Source organism: Homo sapiens, chromosome 11 (genome assembly GCF_000001405.40).
Source record: "Homo sapiens chromosome 11, GRCh38.p14 Primary Assembly".
NCBI lineage: Eukaryota > Metazoa > Chordata > Mammalia > Primates > Hominidae > Homo > Homo sapiens.
Genome location: NC_000011.10, coordinates 94168310 through 94182328, shown reverse-complemented (window position 1 = coordinate 94182328; position 14019 = coordinate 94168310). Strand labels below are relative to the sequence as shown.

The window sequence follows — 14019 nt, the reverse complement described above, 5'->3', positions numbered from 1 at the left end:
TATCATCAGCTTTCCATTTCAGAAAACATCACAGAAGTACAAATAAAATCTGCTTTTCTGAATATTCCAAAAGGCAGACAGCAGCTTATATAATTTCCGTTCTTCAGAAAACAGTAATTAGATTATGTAAACAACTGTCCGTAAGAGCTAAAAGTAAACTTGGAGGTTCCTGAGGATTACTGAACTTATGCAACATGCTAACTTTCTAAGACTAAAACTGGGAAGTTCCACAGATGTTAAAGATTTTTGTGTGTGTGTGTAAAATGTGAACATAGGATCTATTTACATAGTTGGAATTGGGAACAGTTTTTAACATGTTCTGAATCAGCTTTAAATGTTTATGAAATAAGCTTACATTTGTCTTATCCAACCATTTATAATCTTTATTCTATAATTCTCCACCAGTGCTAGAATTTTCTTCCCAAATGGCCTCAATTCGGACACTGAATAAACGATAATGAATTTTTTAAAGCTGTGCTTAAATATAAACAAAATAAACCGCTAAGTTTTTCTGGCTCCAAGCACGCCATATGAAGCATGCCAATGTCACTTATGTGCCCTGATCACATTCAGGCAAAGTGTTCTTCACTTTAAATACTCCTGTGTTCCATTATTGTTTAAGTAAAATCCTATTTCAAATGCCTTTGATAACAGAGAAACCGCCTGTAGACAAACTCTTTGAAAGTGACTGAATTAATGTCTTCTGTGATGTCAGATTTCCCCACTGGGCTCTTTTGGAAGCATTCTTCCTGAATTGAAGTCACTGTGAATATCCTTTAGATTTCATCTTGTTAACTCAGTTTTCAGTCAGAGCAGCACTTGGGCCTGCTGCCCTTCAAGGCACAGTGCAACAAATAGTGGTTACGGGATTTCCATCAGCCAAGGTTGACAACTAACAATGTAAAGAGAGCTCGAGTGTGGGCCAAGGCATCGGACCTTACACCTAACTTAGGACATAGGTCGACCTATGGATTATTAGCCAGTGAATGCTTTTCTTGTCTAACAGTCTTTAAGGGCACATAAGAAACTCACGTTAAATTATACCCTGACATATTATTATTCCATGAAAACAAAACAAATCTTCCAAAGTGCTTGTTTTCCAGTAGCTCTGGGTCTTGTCTCACCACGGGTACAGAAAGGTATTGCTCCGAGGCTCTGACAGGGCTACTGCTCTTGACTAATTGTTCTTGTCTTTCTGCTTTTCATTTGATGAGGACTTACACATAGTTACTTGCTGCAGTTTACTATCTCTCAGGTGCTTCCTATGGGAAGTTCATAAACCATTCTTCCATAACCTTTTGTTGATCACCATTTCCATTAGGGACTCAATAAGACATGCTCAGTATCTCCACCAAGAACCATTTATTGCAAACCAGCTGTGAAACCAACAGGGGTGCTTTAGCCAAATTAAATCCCATGTCGCAGAAGTCACAGATTTACAGCTCAAGGAAAAAAATCATCAGCAAGAAGAATCCAGAAGTCTCTGTCGGGCATTCTTCTCTCCATTATTTGCTTTAGTTTCACTGTCTATGTTCATACCTGTCAAAATTGAAAACAAATATTTATGACAGAAACATAGCAGGAATTACCAATACTAATCAATTTTTCTTCTGCCAAAAATTCCTCTCACAGTCTATACCATGTTTTGCTTCTTGGCCTAACTAAAAGAATCAATAAACTTTTAGTCCCCTTTGAAAGAGAAAGTCAGAGAGTAACAGAGAAGGAGATCAGAGGTAGAAAGGAAAGCCAGTAAGATAAGACAAAAATAAGCAAGAAAGACAAGGAAGATTGCTGAGCAAGAGAGAGTGTGAGACAGACAGAGAAGAGGGAAAAACCAGAAAAAGCACAGAAGTTATTCTTCTTTGGAAATGTAGAGCAGCACCAATTCTTTTCCTCTCTCTCCTTATACTGAGGGGTTCCCACTCCCCCTACCCCGCACCTTGGTATTAAGGTTTTTAATGCTTGGAAATGGTTTAAATGATGGGCAGGGTAAAGACTGTCAATATTCCCACAAGGCTGCTGCAAAGGCTCTCGGTAGACTCCCGTAGCCTCTGCCAAAAGCAAACCCTACCTTGGAGCTCTGCCGTCTGGTTCCCCTGCTCCTCTCTCATCTCTGCAGACATGGGAGTTTTGCCATCAACAACATCCATCTTGATCATGCCAAGGTTTGTCAGGAGTAGCATTGGGTCGATCCCCTGACCACTGCTCTTAATATTCTCCAGTACCTTAAGACACTTGTATGACTTGACCTCACTTATATTTTCCTCCAAGAAGAGATTGTAGAGGCTCAAATCGTTGTACCCTTCAGATTTGAAATGCAGAACATCAAAAGTGGGGAGGATTTCGTACACTTTGAGAACATCTGTCTTCTGTCGGAATGGAACAAACAGCGTGTAGACAACCACGGGAGCCAGCAGGACATAAACCACAAGGTTAATGACACTGAGCAACTGGAAGATGCCCACGGCAATGAGTTTGCACTGAAACTGATCGGGCACGGTGCTGTCGTTTCTCAGGATCCCTGATTTGATGCTGCACACAAACTCGTCTGAGAGTGAGGAGAGGCTGAAGTAATAGCCCAGGTAGATACACGCTAACAGTATAATGATGAGTGTCAGCAGGCGGCAGCTAATGTACTTGATGATTAAATTATTAGAATTTTTCTTTGTCTTCAAGTACTGCTCCACAATTGGGTACTTGAAGTGGCTTTCAGATACCTCCCACAAACTAAAAAATAAAGGAAACAAAAATAACTTAGGCACTCATCAAGACCATCAAATATTAAAGGCAGATACACATTCAACAATGTCACACTAAAAATTTCAAACACCCATACTTCTTTACCTACAACGTCAGTAGTCAAAAATAAAATCCGTTTAAAAGAGGAGGAAGAAAAGGAATAATAAAATGCTTTTCCCCTTAATATTTAACAGAAGGCCTAGTTAATTAAATGAGTTAATATTTGGAAATTTTTAGAGTGATGCCTGGCATCTGGTAAATCCTAAATATGTGTAAGCATACGCCTCTTACAGGCAAGGGGTGGGACAACTCAGGGGGTATGGGCAAAAACTATGGGGTCTAAAGGGCATGGTTCAGTTCCCAGACTCTCACTTACAGCTACAGAAGAGTATTTTTATCCAGAATAAAAGTGGAGGAGGAGGTTAACAAATGCACTAGTAATGTTGCTCTGAGGGTTAAAGGAGATAATGTACTTAAATAACTCAATACGGTGTGTGAGATATATTAAATATTCAAAAAATGATGGCTCTTATTATTATTCCAATTATTCAATAACAAGAACCAAAAGAAGGTTGTGAAAAGGCAAGCCACGACCTACTCATTCCCCATTTCTCTCTCATCCCTTGCTCAGCTGCCTTGAAATCCTCTGTGCGTCTCCATTAAGGAGTTAAATAGATCAAAGCAAGCAAGCTTCATATAGCACCTCAATCTGTTACCCCTACAAGAACTGCATTTTTAAAATGAGATGTAATGTTTCACTCATCAAGGGAATGAGTCTTGACAGAAGGATAAACAAATGGGTAGGATGGGTCGCGGTGAGATTTGGGGAGAGTGGACATCCCGGGATACTACAGGCTGTCACTAGGTGCATGACGTCCCCCTGCTTCCACTCCTGCCCCGCCTCCTAGCAATGAGAACTCTGGGCCCAGACTGGCAGTAGAAGGGCAGAGAATTTGTCCTACAAAACCCGATGAGCTGCCTGCTGGGGCTAAGTTACCTTTGCCCTAAGTTCTCGGTAACACCTGGAACTGAGCAGGCTCCATCTCTCATGTCAAGGTCACGCGCACTCTTTGCAGCCTTAATTGCACGGTTGTAAACTTTGTCAAGTTCTTCCATGATAAACTTCAAGTCTGAGCAAATATGAGGAGCAGCTGCGAAACGCCAGAACAGCGGGGGCAGGTACAGGAGGATCGCAAAGAGCAGCAGGATGTAGGGGAAAAACTGAAAAACAAGAGAACAAATCATGGGCTTAACAAACCCCCCATGCAGTAACCTATGGCGCCAAGTGATGCTCTCATTTTCTCACATCTTGAGACAAATGTGTATTGTGGAAATTGGGCTCATTACCTAATAACTACTTCTTATGGCTAAATTCCCCTGTCCAGGTAATACCTGTCACAGGTAACTACCTATTTTTTTTTCTTCCATAGGTATTAATTTGAAGTAATCAGCAACTGCATGGTGACACATGGTGTGTACGTTCTAATCACAGAAGGAAAATAAAAAAATAAAATTACTCCCGTTCCCTGAACAAAATCCCAGTTAAGAAACCTGCAGCTATCACGAAGGCTTCTGCTGGGTTTTTGTTAACTTTTATGGTTTTAAGAAGCAACTAAGGCATACGGCTCCATTTTTGCCCTACTCTGGAATCTGGGAAAATGCCAAAGAAACATGTAACTTCCCCCAAAACAAATTAGAAAAGCTTCGACTTCAGTGATTCAGTAATCATCCCAATAAGACAGCTGAAATAAGCAGTTGAATTCACAGAATGCAGAATGAATGTGGAACAGACTTTGAAGGCAGTCCAACACCCTCATCGTATAGTTGGATAAACTTGGGCTCAGAGAGGCCATCCACAACGGGCAAGGGAATCAAGAGGAGAGCATCCACATCAGGGTGCAGACACACACCAAACAAGAGGGGATTCACACGTCAGAGAGGGTGAGGAGCACCCCAGTAACCAGGACCACCAGTTGGTCAGAGGTGGCTTAGCCTCAGCAGAAGACTTAGGAAGACCGTAAATTGCAGTCAGTGCAGATCTGAATTGAAGCTCAGCATTGCGGCCTTGGGCAATCATGTCTACTCTGCAGAACTAAGTAGCTGCGACAGTGACCATGTGATCTGCAATGACAAAAAAACTTTATGATCTGGCCCTCTGCAGAAGTTTGCTGACCCTGGTCTAGGCCCTTGATGTCACTTTCGACTATCCTTTTGCGTGATCTTCTAATCAGCAATAAGACATAAGAGTATTGCTTTTTGTTTGCTCTTTGCCTTCTTGGACAAAACTGCTTCTTTTCCTTTCTGTTCCCTAATTAGAACCCTCACTCTGTGCTTACCAAGTGGCTCTCCCTGCCTCTATTCTCTCCTGTACACCATTACTGAGGCTTAACTCTTGGAACCGCCAAGTTCACCCTGCTCAGGTACCTGCAATGGCTCCCGCTGTCCCCAGCATTTAGCCCATCCATCTGGTTAGTTTTCAAAGTCTCTGACCCTCAGTTTCCTTATGTATGAAATGGTCATGGAATAGAGGTGTCATGAAGATTAAAGGAGATAATTGATGGAAAATGCTTAGCAAAGGGCCTGGCATAGAACAGGCACTCAAACACTCCAGGTAACCACAAAAAGATTAGCTAGGTGGACACGTTATGTTCAGTCCTCACAGCAACCCTGGCAGGGACTCTATAGATGGCTCCATTCTGCAAATGGGAAGAGAAAGCCGGGAGCAGTTTCTGGCCCCAGATCACAAAGCTGGTAAGTGAGAGTCAGACTATGTTGCCAACCTCTCTGACCCCAGAGACATCTTTTTCCAATCTAACACACTCTCAATTACTTTACTCCTCTGGAAAACTTCTCCTTACTTTTGGATGGGTCTATCTCCACCATTTCTCAGAGTTGTAATGGACGAGGCCATGATGGCCGTAAGTTGACATGAAACCCTCCCCTCAAAACATTTCTGGGAGTGGACGGCAGCCCCCACAACATGGCCCTCACTGTAATTTCAGATGTACAGAGCATTCCCATAAGCCCCTCACTCAGTTTCCCCCATTGCTAATGACTCATATTTCTGTGATATATTTGTTAAGACTAAGAAGCCAACATCGGCACATTATCAGAAACTAAACTTCAGACTTTTATTTGTAAAGTACAGTAGTAGTTTTTCCCCTACTGTCCTCTTCCTGTTCCAAGATCCAATCCAGGGTACTCACTGCATTTAGTTGCCATGTCTCCCTAGACTCCTTGGTTTTGTGACAGTTCTTCAATCTTTCCTTGTTTTTAAATGCATAAAATAATATATATATAGGTTCACAAAGGAAATAGAGCACTGATATACAGTTACCAAAATATTAATATTTTGCATCCAATTCTTTATTCATACTTAAATTAGGATCTAGCAGATGATCTAACAGCTATTGAAACTTTGAAGTAGTGAAGAGTAAACGATATTCCAGGATATCTGTGATTTTCTGTGGGTGACAAACTCACAGGTACTGCTAATATCACTATGGATTGTTGCCTACATAAAAACTTTCTTAATGCTAAATTTTATTTGGAAGTGAATAAAAAATAAAGCTGTCATATATTTTCCTATCCTAGTTTGCAGGCCTCCTGTCACTATCACAGACCCACATAAGGAATCTCTGCCCCAGACGCAAGACAGAAATAAGCACAAATGACCCCAAAACTTTGCAAAGCCCTCTTACCAAGACAGCTGCTTTACTTTGGCATTCTGGCACGGGATGAGGTGTTTCAAAAGTATTAACCCAATTTGCAAAGGGCTGCTACACAATGACACACAAAGCAGGCTGTGATTAGCTGAATTTTGGCTGCATAATTCATAGCTGGCTGTGGGGAGAAGGAATGTTCATTTAATTCTTGCCCAATCAGAAGGGTGCCCATTAGTTTAAAAACATAAGTGCATGACACAGAGTTTCTGCTGCTTCCATAACCACGAAAGCCAGGCATTCTATCTGGGAACCACAGGGAGAAAACTTTTTCTAACATGGGCTTGTGAAACATCTGTATAAGTCACTTTTGTTTCAAAGCTATTTGAATAATGGCATTTCACTTCGAACTGTTCCCTTGAATTAAAAAGTGACTATTTACAGTCTGTGGTATTTTTAAACATGCCCAAGTGGTACAATAATTTGGTACAATAAGTGGTACAATGAATAGTTCAGCACAGCTCATTGTAATTAGAAAAACAAATTACATATAGGGTGTAAATTTCCCTAAAATAGCCTTGTACCTTGATCACCACTATAATAACATCATTTAATGCCACATCTCTTGGTTTTCTCCACACTAAAACCTCTTTTTATTTTTTTCCCACCAAAATAAAAAGGCAACTTTCAGTGATTCTATAAAAATGTAGTAAAACAGGAAATAAGAATCCAAAATAACACAAAATTACAGTCTTTAATTTCAAATAAGAAATATGGAAAAGCTGCAGGGCTTTGAGGGTGCATCTGCAGATGGAAACAGCTTTGTTCATAAGCTGTGTCAACTCCACATTAGGCCTGGGATGCTCAGCATCTCTTGAAGCCATGATGGCACTATTCTGCATGATGTTCGAGTGAGTATTGAGCTCTTCCAAGAATAGGGAAACTTCTCAAATCATTGTGGGACCAAGCAGCTGTCCAACTACAATTTTCAGTCTATCTGCCTTAAAAATGTGTGCTGTTTCTGGAATGGGTTATAGTTAAAACAACAGAAACCTCCAGATGGAAGGAACCTAGAGGGTGAGCAGTACAACTTCCCTCCATATTCAAATCCTCTCTACCTCATCGAAGGCAAAGAACCATCCAATTCGGACTGAACAACTCCTCCCCTAAAATGCATGTGACCTCATCTTAGGGGATTAAGTGCAGATGGGTAAATTCACTCAAAAACATCTCCTGGGGACCTGCTATGTGCTAGGCAGTGGGCTGGATGCACGGCCCCCACAGACTAGGCACAGAGTCTGCCCCAAGATTACACAGGACAGATGGGAACACAAGCTGATAATTAAATCATCAAAACATGTAGGTACTAAGCACTGAGGGAACAGAAAAGTCCCTGGGGAGGTGGTCAGGGAAGCTTCATAAAAGAGGTAACACCTGAACTATGTCTTAAAGTACAGTGCGGCAATAAAATAAAACAAAGCCTTATGTTAAGACTCAGCACAAATGTCACCTCTGTGGCCCTTTGGAATCCTCTTTCCTCTGCTTGGAATCCTTTCCTCCGTGTTTGTCTGTTGAATTCTCACTCATCCAGAGCACCAAGGTAAATGAACAAGCCTGTGAGTGAGGAAGTAGACAGAGCAGAGGCTGGAAGGGTGTGCTGGCTTGAATACTGCCCCCCAACCCTAACTAATGACCACCTGGAACCTCAGAGTGTGATACTGTTTGGAAATAGGTCTTTGCAAATATAATTAGTTAAATTAAGATAAGGTCATGATAAATTAGGGTGGGTCCTAATCCAATGACTTGTGTCCTTATCAGAAGGCCAAATGAAGACACAGAGACACACAGGAAGAAGCCTGTGATGACAGAGGTAGAGACTGGAGTGATGCATCTACCACCCTAGGAACACAGAGGACTGCCAGCAGCCACCAGGAACTAGAAGAAAGCACATCACAGACTCTCCCTGAAAGCACCAAAAGGAGCCAATTCTGGCAACACCTTGATTGTGGACTTCTGGCCTCCAAAACTAGGAGGAAATACATTTCTGTTGTAATTTGTTATAGCAGATCTAGGAAACTCACAAAAAGTGTAAGCAGAGACTGAATTAAGAGGGCCACAAATTCCCACACCATACACAATGGGGTACCACTGGTAGAGGGCAAAATCAAATATATTCCAGAAAACCACTACAGAGGCAAAGAAGAAACACATGGGAAGGAGAGAGACCAGGCAGGAGGTCACTGTGGCAGAGAGGCAGGAAGAGAAGACAGATCTGAGAGCAACAGATGGGGGAGACATACACTTCAGTGTCCACACAGAAGAGGGGGACGGAAAAGGAGAAGAACTGAGGATCACGCCGGGTGTGTAGCTCATGCAAGGGCATGACGGGGTGGAACCTTCAGGTGAAATAAATGAAGAGTCCCAGATTCAGAGCAGACGGGAGTGAGGTGGGAGGCAGACCTGAGAAGATGAGAAATTTTGAACATGAGATACCTGCAGTCAAAACGCCCTGGTCTGTAGTAGATAACTGAAAATAAAGGAAAAGAATCTAGCTGTACAATTCAGGATTTGGCAGCACATATGTGGTCAAAGCCAACTGTATGGTTAAGATCATCCAAGGAGAATGGGCAGAAGGAGAAGACCAGAAGACCACGAACAGGCCTGAGACCCTATAACATTTAAGGGTCAGGCAAAAAGAGAATCTTGGAAGAAATGGAGAAAAGCAGTCAGAAAGTAGGAAGTAGGTAAACCAAGAACATCCTGCACTGGGGAAGTGGAGTAAAAAGATGCATGAAGGATGTCTGTTCTGGCTATATGCTGTTCAGGTAATACCGCACTTACAGACAATCCTAGACAGCGGGAGTCAAGAGTGAACAGCTACCCCAGAAAGCTAATGTGCACTCCCTGAGAAGCTTACAGAAGGCAGAAAATACAGATGGCATGGCTTCTATTCAGCACCAAAGGTGCTGTGGTTTGCACTGGGTGACATTCTGGAGTGCAGCTGGAGGGAACCCATCATGGGGAGAGCCCTGGAGAAGACAGCGAGCAAAGTATCTGTTCACAGAAGGAGGAAAAGATGCCTACCAAGATAAGTAGAACCAAGTGACAAGGAGCAGCCTTCCCACGGATCTATGAAATGCAATGAATTGTCCTATGAGGCAAGGAGCTCCCTTTCAATACAGTTTGTGATCATCTGGGAGAGCTTGAGTATTCCAGATTAAGGGTCCATAGGGTTTTCTTGTAAAGGGCCAGAGAGTAAATATTACAGGTTTGAGAGCTACATGGTCTCTGTTGCAGCTGCTCAACTCTGCCATTATAGTGCAAAAGCAGCCACAGATAATGTGTGAACAAATGGGGCACAGTTGTGTTCCAATAAAATTTTATTTACAAAAACAGGTATGGACTGATTTGGCTCAAGCATGTGTGTCCTAGTCTGCCAACCCTGGCTCTGGATTCTTGCTTCTCAAAGAGTGGTGTGGTCCATAGACCACAAACCTCAGTTATCACCTGGCAGTCTGTTATAAATGCAGAATTGCAGGTCCCTATCAGACCTGCTGAATCAGAGCCTAAAGTTCAACAAAATCCCCAGGTGATCTGCATGCACAGAGAATTTGAGAAATGGTGTAGATGGGTGGTGCCCACATTGTACGGCAAGATGGGCTCACATCAGAATCTCCTGGGAAGCCGATAAAAACCACATTCCTGACCTTAACCACAGAAGCTCCAACCTAATGGCCTAGATGGCCTCGGGAGCCTGAATTTTCACAAGGCCACTCTGGCAATGCTAAGGTTTGGAAGCCTCTGGTCTGAAAGCCTCAGAGGATTCCTCCAACCAAGTTTCTATGAGTCTACTTAAGAGAAATAAAGATTTGCCCACTCTCCTAATTTTGTTCTTGTTTTTCTTATTGTTTTTTTCAGTCAAAAACGGACTTTCCTGTTTCAGAGAGAAATCTTACTAATAGTTGCCTCCCGCATTCTAAACTTGAACAAAGGGAACAGAACACTCAAAGGAAAAAAAAAAGCCAGTTCTCAAGCAGTGTTAGAGCGCCACCTACTGGGTGCCCCCCACCCCCCGAGACTGTACCCACATCTCCAGCAAAGGCCTCACAGTGTGTCCTTAGAGGTCATCAGTAGTGCATGGAGTGGGAGAGAAAGGGAGGAGGAAGACAGGGAGAAATCAAAGTCGGTTGGAGAAAAATGACACCATTGATCATACCAGTGTCATACCAGTGCTGACTTAAATATTACACTGAATAACTTCTTTGGGGTAACTGAGCTCTCCTAACTTCAGCATCAGAATTAAATTGAGAAGTGCTGAATAAACCCTGTGCCTCTAATCCCCCATCCTTTGTCAGGATGCTCCTGGAGAACCAAGTCTGGTTCTGAACAGGACACACAACTACCTCACTGCCCTCTTCCCTTCCGCATATAGTCTTCAAGCACCCACTATGGACTACGCATTGTCTCAGGGGTACATGGATAAACAAGACATGGTCATGGTCTCTGCCTGCATAAAGCTTACAGTCTTAAGAGATAAAGAATTAATAAAGCAGAATTATGGCAAGATATTTTCATGTCAAGCTTCCATTTTATTTGAAAGTGCTTGGGGAAGGCCTTGGAGGGCAGGAGGCAGAGACAGGGAGTGGGATGCCTGAAGTTAGTTTCAAGTGACAGCAAGTTCAGAATGAGGTGGCCACAGGAACTCATGATGGAGATGGAAATGGAAAGGAGGTAAAAGTTCTTGCAGATGAGACAGAGACTGAGGCTAGATGTGCCATCCAGGAGGACACAGAAGTCACCTTGGGGTGGTGAAGGAGGATGAGCATGACTGAGTCCTGAATGAATGAGGGGTGACTGGGAGAATGACAGCAATGAGGAGGGCATGGGGAAGGCATAGCCAGTATCCAGAACAGCTAAGGAACTGAGTTTTCTATGAAGAAACAGTAGCAAGGTAAGAAATACAGGCATGGGAAGAAATTACGCAAGTCCATGAGCACGCTGAACTAAGGAACTCCTGGGTCAACAGTGGGCTCCCCTGCTGGACAGCAATTGTGCCAGAAAGACTCTCCTTGTGTTGAACTGCAGCTCATCAGCAGGTGACCATCACCTACAGGCTACAGTCCAGAATTCTCAAGCCACAGAAGTTAGAACTGGACCTTCTCACATGGGAAACATGTCTGAAATCTGAAGAAGGATGTGGGCTCACCTGCCATCTGGCTGTGCGACCTCAGAAAAGGCACTGATCACTCTGGCCCTCGGAGCCTGAATGAGAGGACCCTAACAGCTTAACAGTCCCGAGTCTGCTCAGTGTGGAGAAGCCACAAGAAAACCTTTTCATCTTTGAAAGAGAATCCAGCAATTCCACTTTGGGGTATGTATCCAAAAGAAACAAAGTGAGGACTCGAACAGATGTTCACAGCAGCAATATTCACAATAGCCAATAAGGGCAAGCAACCCAAGTATGCGCTGATGAACGGATAAACAAAATCTCGTACAAATTTACAATGGGATGTTATTCAGTCTTAAAAAGGAAGGAGATTCTGATGTATGTCACCACATTAATGAACTGTGAAAACATTTTCTTCAGTGAGATAAGCCAGACACAAAAGGACAAATATTGTATGGTTTCACTTATATGAGGTATCTAGAATAGACAAATGCAGAGAGACAGAAAACAGAATGGAGGTTGCCAGGGGCTGGGGGGATGGGGAAATGGAAAATTACTGCTTAATGGATGCAGGTCTCAGTTTGGGAAGATGAAAAATTCAGGAGATGGGTAATGGCGATGGTTTCGCAACAATGTAAATGTACTTAATGCCACTGGGCTATATACCTACAAAGAGAAAGGTAAATTTTATGTTATGTATATTTTATCAAAAAAGAAAAAGAAAAACTTGAAAAAGAGATCAACGTAGAAATAAAGCAGCTGCGATTACTGAATCTGGCCTAAGAAAGCCATGCACTAATATTCCTATCTGGTATAGGTTTTATTTCTCCAATTAGGCTGAATCTTCATTTCTCTCTAACTCCTGGCATTACCAACCAAATCCCACAAATTTGATGGCTTAAAACCACAGAAATTTTTTCTTTCATGGTTTTAGAGGTGAGGAGTTCAAAATCAAGGTGCTAGCAGGGCCATGCTCCCTCCCGAGTCTCCATGGCAGGATCCTCCCAGCGTCTTCCAGCTTCCAGTCGCCCCAGCATTCCTTGGCTTGGCTGCATAACTCCAATCCAGCCCCCTGTGGGCATGCGGCTGTTTTCTCCCTGAGTGTCTTCATGTTGTCTTCCCTCTGAGCATGTCTGTGTCCAAATTCCCCTCTTCTTATGAGGATAGCAGTCATACTGAGTTAAAGGCCCACCCTACTGCAGTAAGACCCCATCTTAACTAATTACATCTGCTATAATTATATTTCCAAATAAGGTGTCACAGTTTAGGGCACACTGGGTTAAAACTTCGACATATCTTTTGGGGGACACAATTCAGCCCATGATACCACCCAAATGTAGAGTTAGCCTAAGTCTCAGTCCTCACCTTACTCGCACTCTTGGCAGCATCTGACACAGGTTATCACATTGACACCATCTTTCTTTACAAGATACCCTGCCTTTCAAGCATACAGCACACTGTTTAACTTTCCTCATCACCCCACCTCTCTGTGTCTCCTCTGTTGACTGGTCCTACCCCACCCTCTCTCCATGTTGGAGCAGCCCTCAGACCTTGCCCCTGTCTACATATAATCACCCCCTAAGAAACACCATCCACTCCTATAGCTTTAAACACTATCTATTTTCTGACAATCTGCCATATCTATAGCTCTATTCTAGCCTGCAATCTCCAGATACCATATCTCACTGCCCACCTGACACATCATCTGGACCACAGCACCTGATTCAACATGTTCAAGCAGAACTCTTTGATTTTCCTCCAAAATCTGCTTCTTCACCAGGCTTCTTCAAGTGTCATGAAGGTGTCATTCCATCCGGTGCCTGAAACCTTGGTCATGTCCTTAATCCTGATCTTTCTCTCATCTTCCCATGTCCAATCAGCACATCTTGTTACTTCCGTATCTTAGAAAAGATGCCCTGAGTCTTAGAAAAGATGCACTTCCCACCTCCACTGCTGTCACCCTAGATCTCAACTGCTGTCACTCTAGACCAAGGATCAGCAAACTGCTGCCCCTGAGCCAAATCTGGCCACAAGCAATCATGTCTACTCTGCAGAACTAAGTAGCTGCGACAGTGACCATGTGATCTGCAATGACAAAAAAACTTTATGATCTGGCCCTCTGCAGAAGTTTGCTGACCCTGGTCTAGGCCCTTGATGTCACTTTCGACTATCCTTTTGCGTGATCTTCTAATCAGCAATAAGACATAAGAGTATTGCTTTTTGTTTGCTCTTTGCCTTCTTGGACAAAACTGCTTCTTTTCCTTTCTGTTCCCTAATTAGAACCCTCACTCTGTGCTTACCAAGTGGCTCTCCCTGCCTCTATTCTCTCCTGTACACCATTACTGAGGCTTAACTCTTGGAACCGCCAAGTTCACCCTGCTCAGGTACCTGCAATGGCTCCCGCTGTCCCCAGCATTTAGCCCATCCATCTGGTTAGTTTTCAAAGTCCCC

The 14019-nt window shown here is 43.0% G+C and overlaps 1 protein-coding gene across 3 annotated transcripts in view; it reads right to left on the bottom strand.

The window, feature by feature from the left end:
• PANX1 (pannexin 1) overlaps window positions 361–14019 on the bottom strand; it is a 53128-nt gene continuing 39469 nt past the window's right edge. Inside the window, exons 2-6 of one of the 3 annotated variants that reach the window (XM_011542734.3) lie at window positions 7912–8015; window positions 6441–6582; window positions 3737–3960; window positions 2072–2727; window positions 361–1539 (exon numbers count right to left, since the gene is read on the bottom strand). In XM_011542734.3, the coding sequence (XP_011541036.1) occupies window positions 1460–1539; window positions 2072–2727; window positions 3737–3855 (855 nt within the window). In that variant the 5' untranslated portion in view covers window positions 3856–3960; window positions 6441–6582; window positions 7912–8015 and the 3' untranslated portion in view covers window positions 361–1459. The remainder of the gene's footprint in view (window positions 1540–2071; window positions 2728–3736; window positions 3961–6440; window positions 6583–7911; window positions 8016–14019) is intronic. The other 2 variants (XM_047426702.1, NM_015368.4) reach the window with 2 other exon arrangements.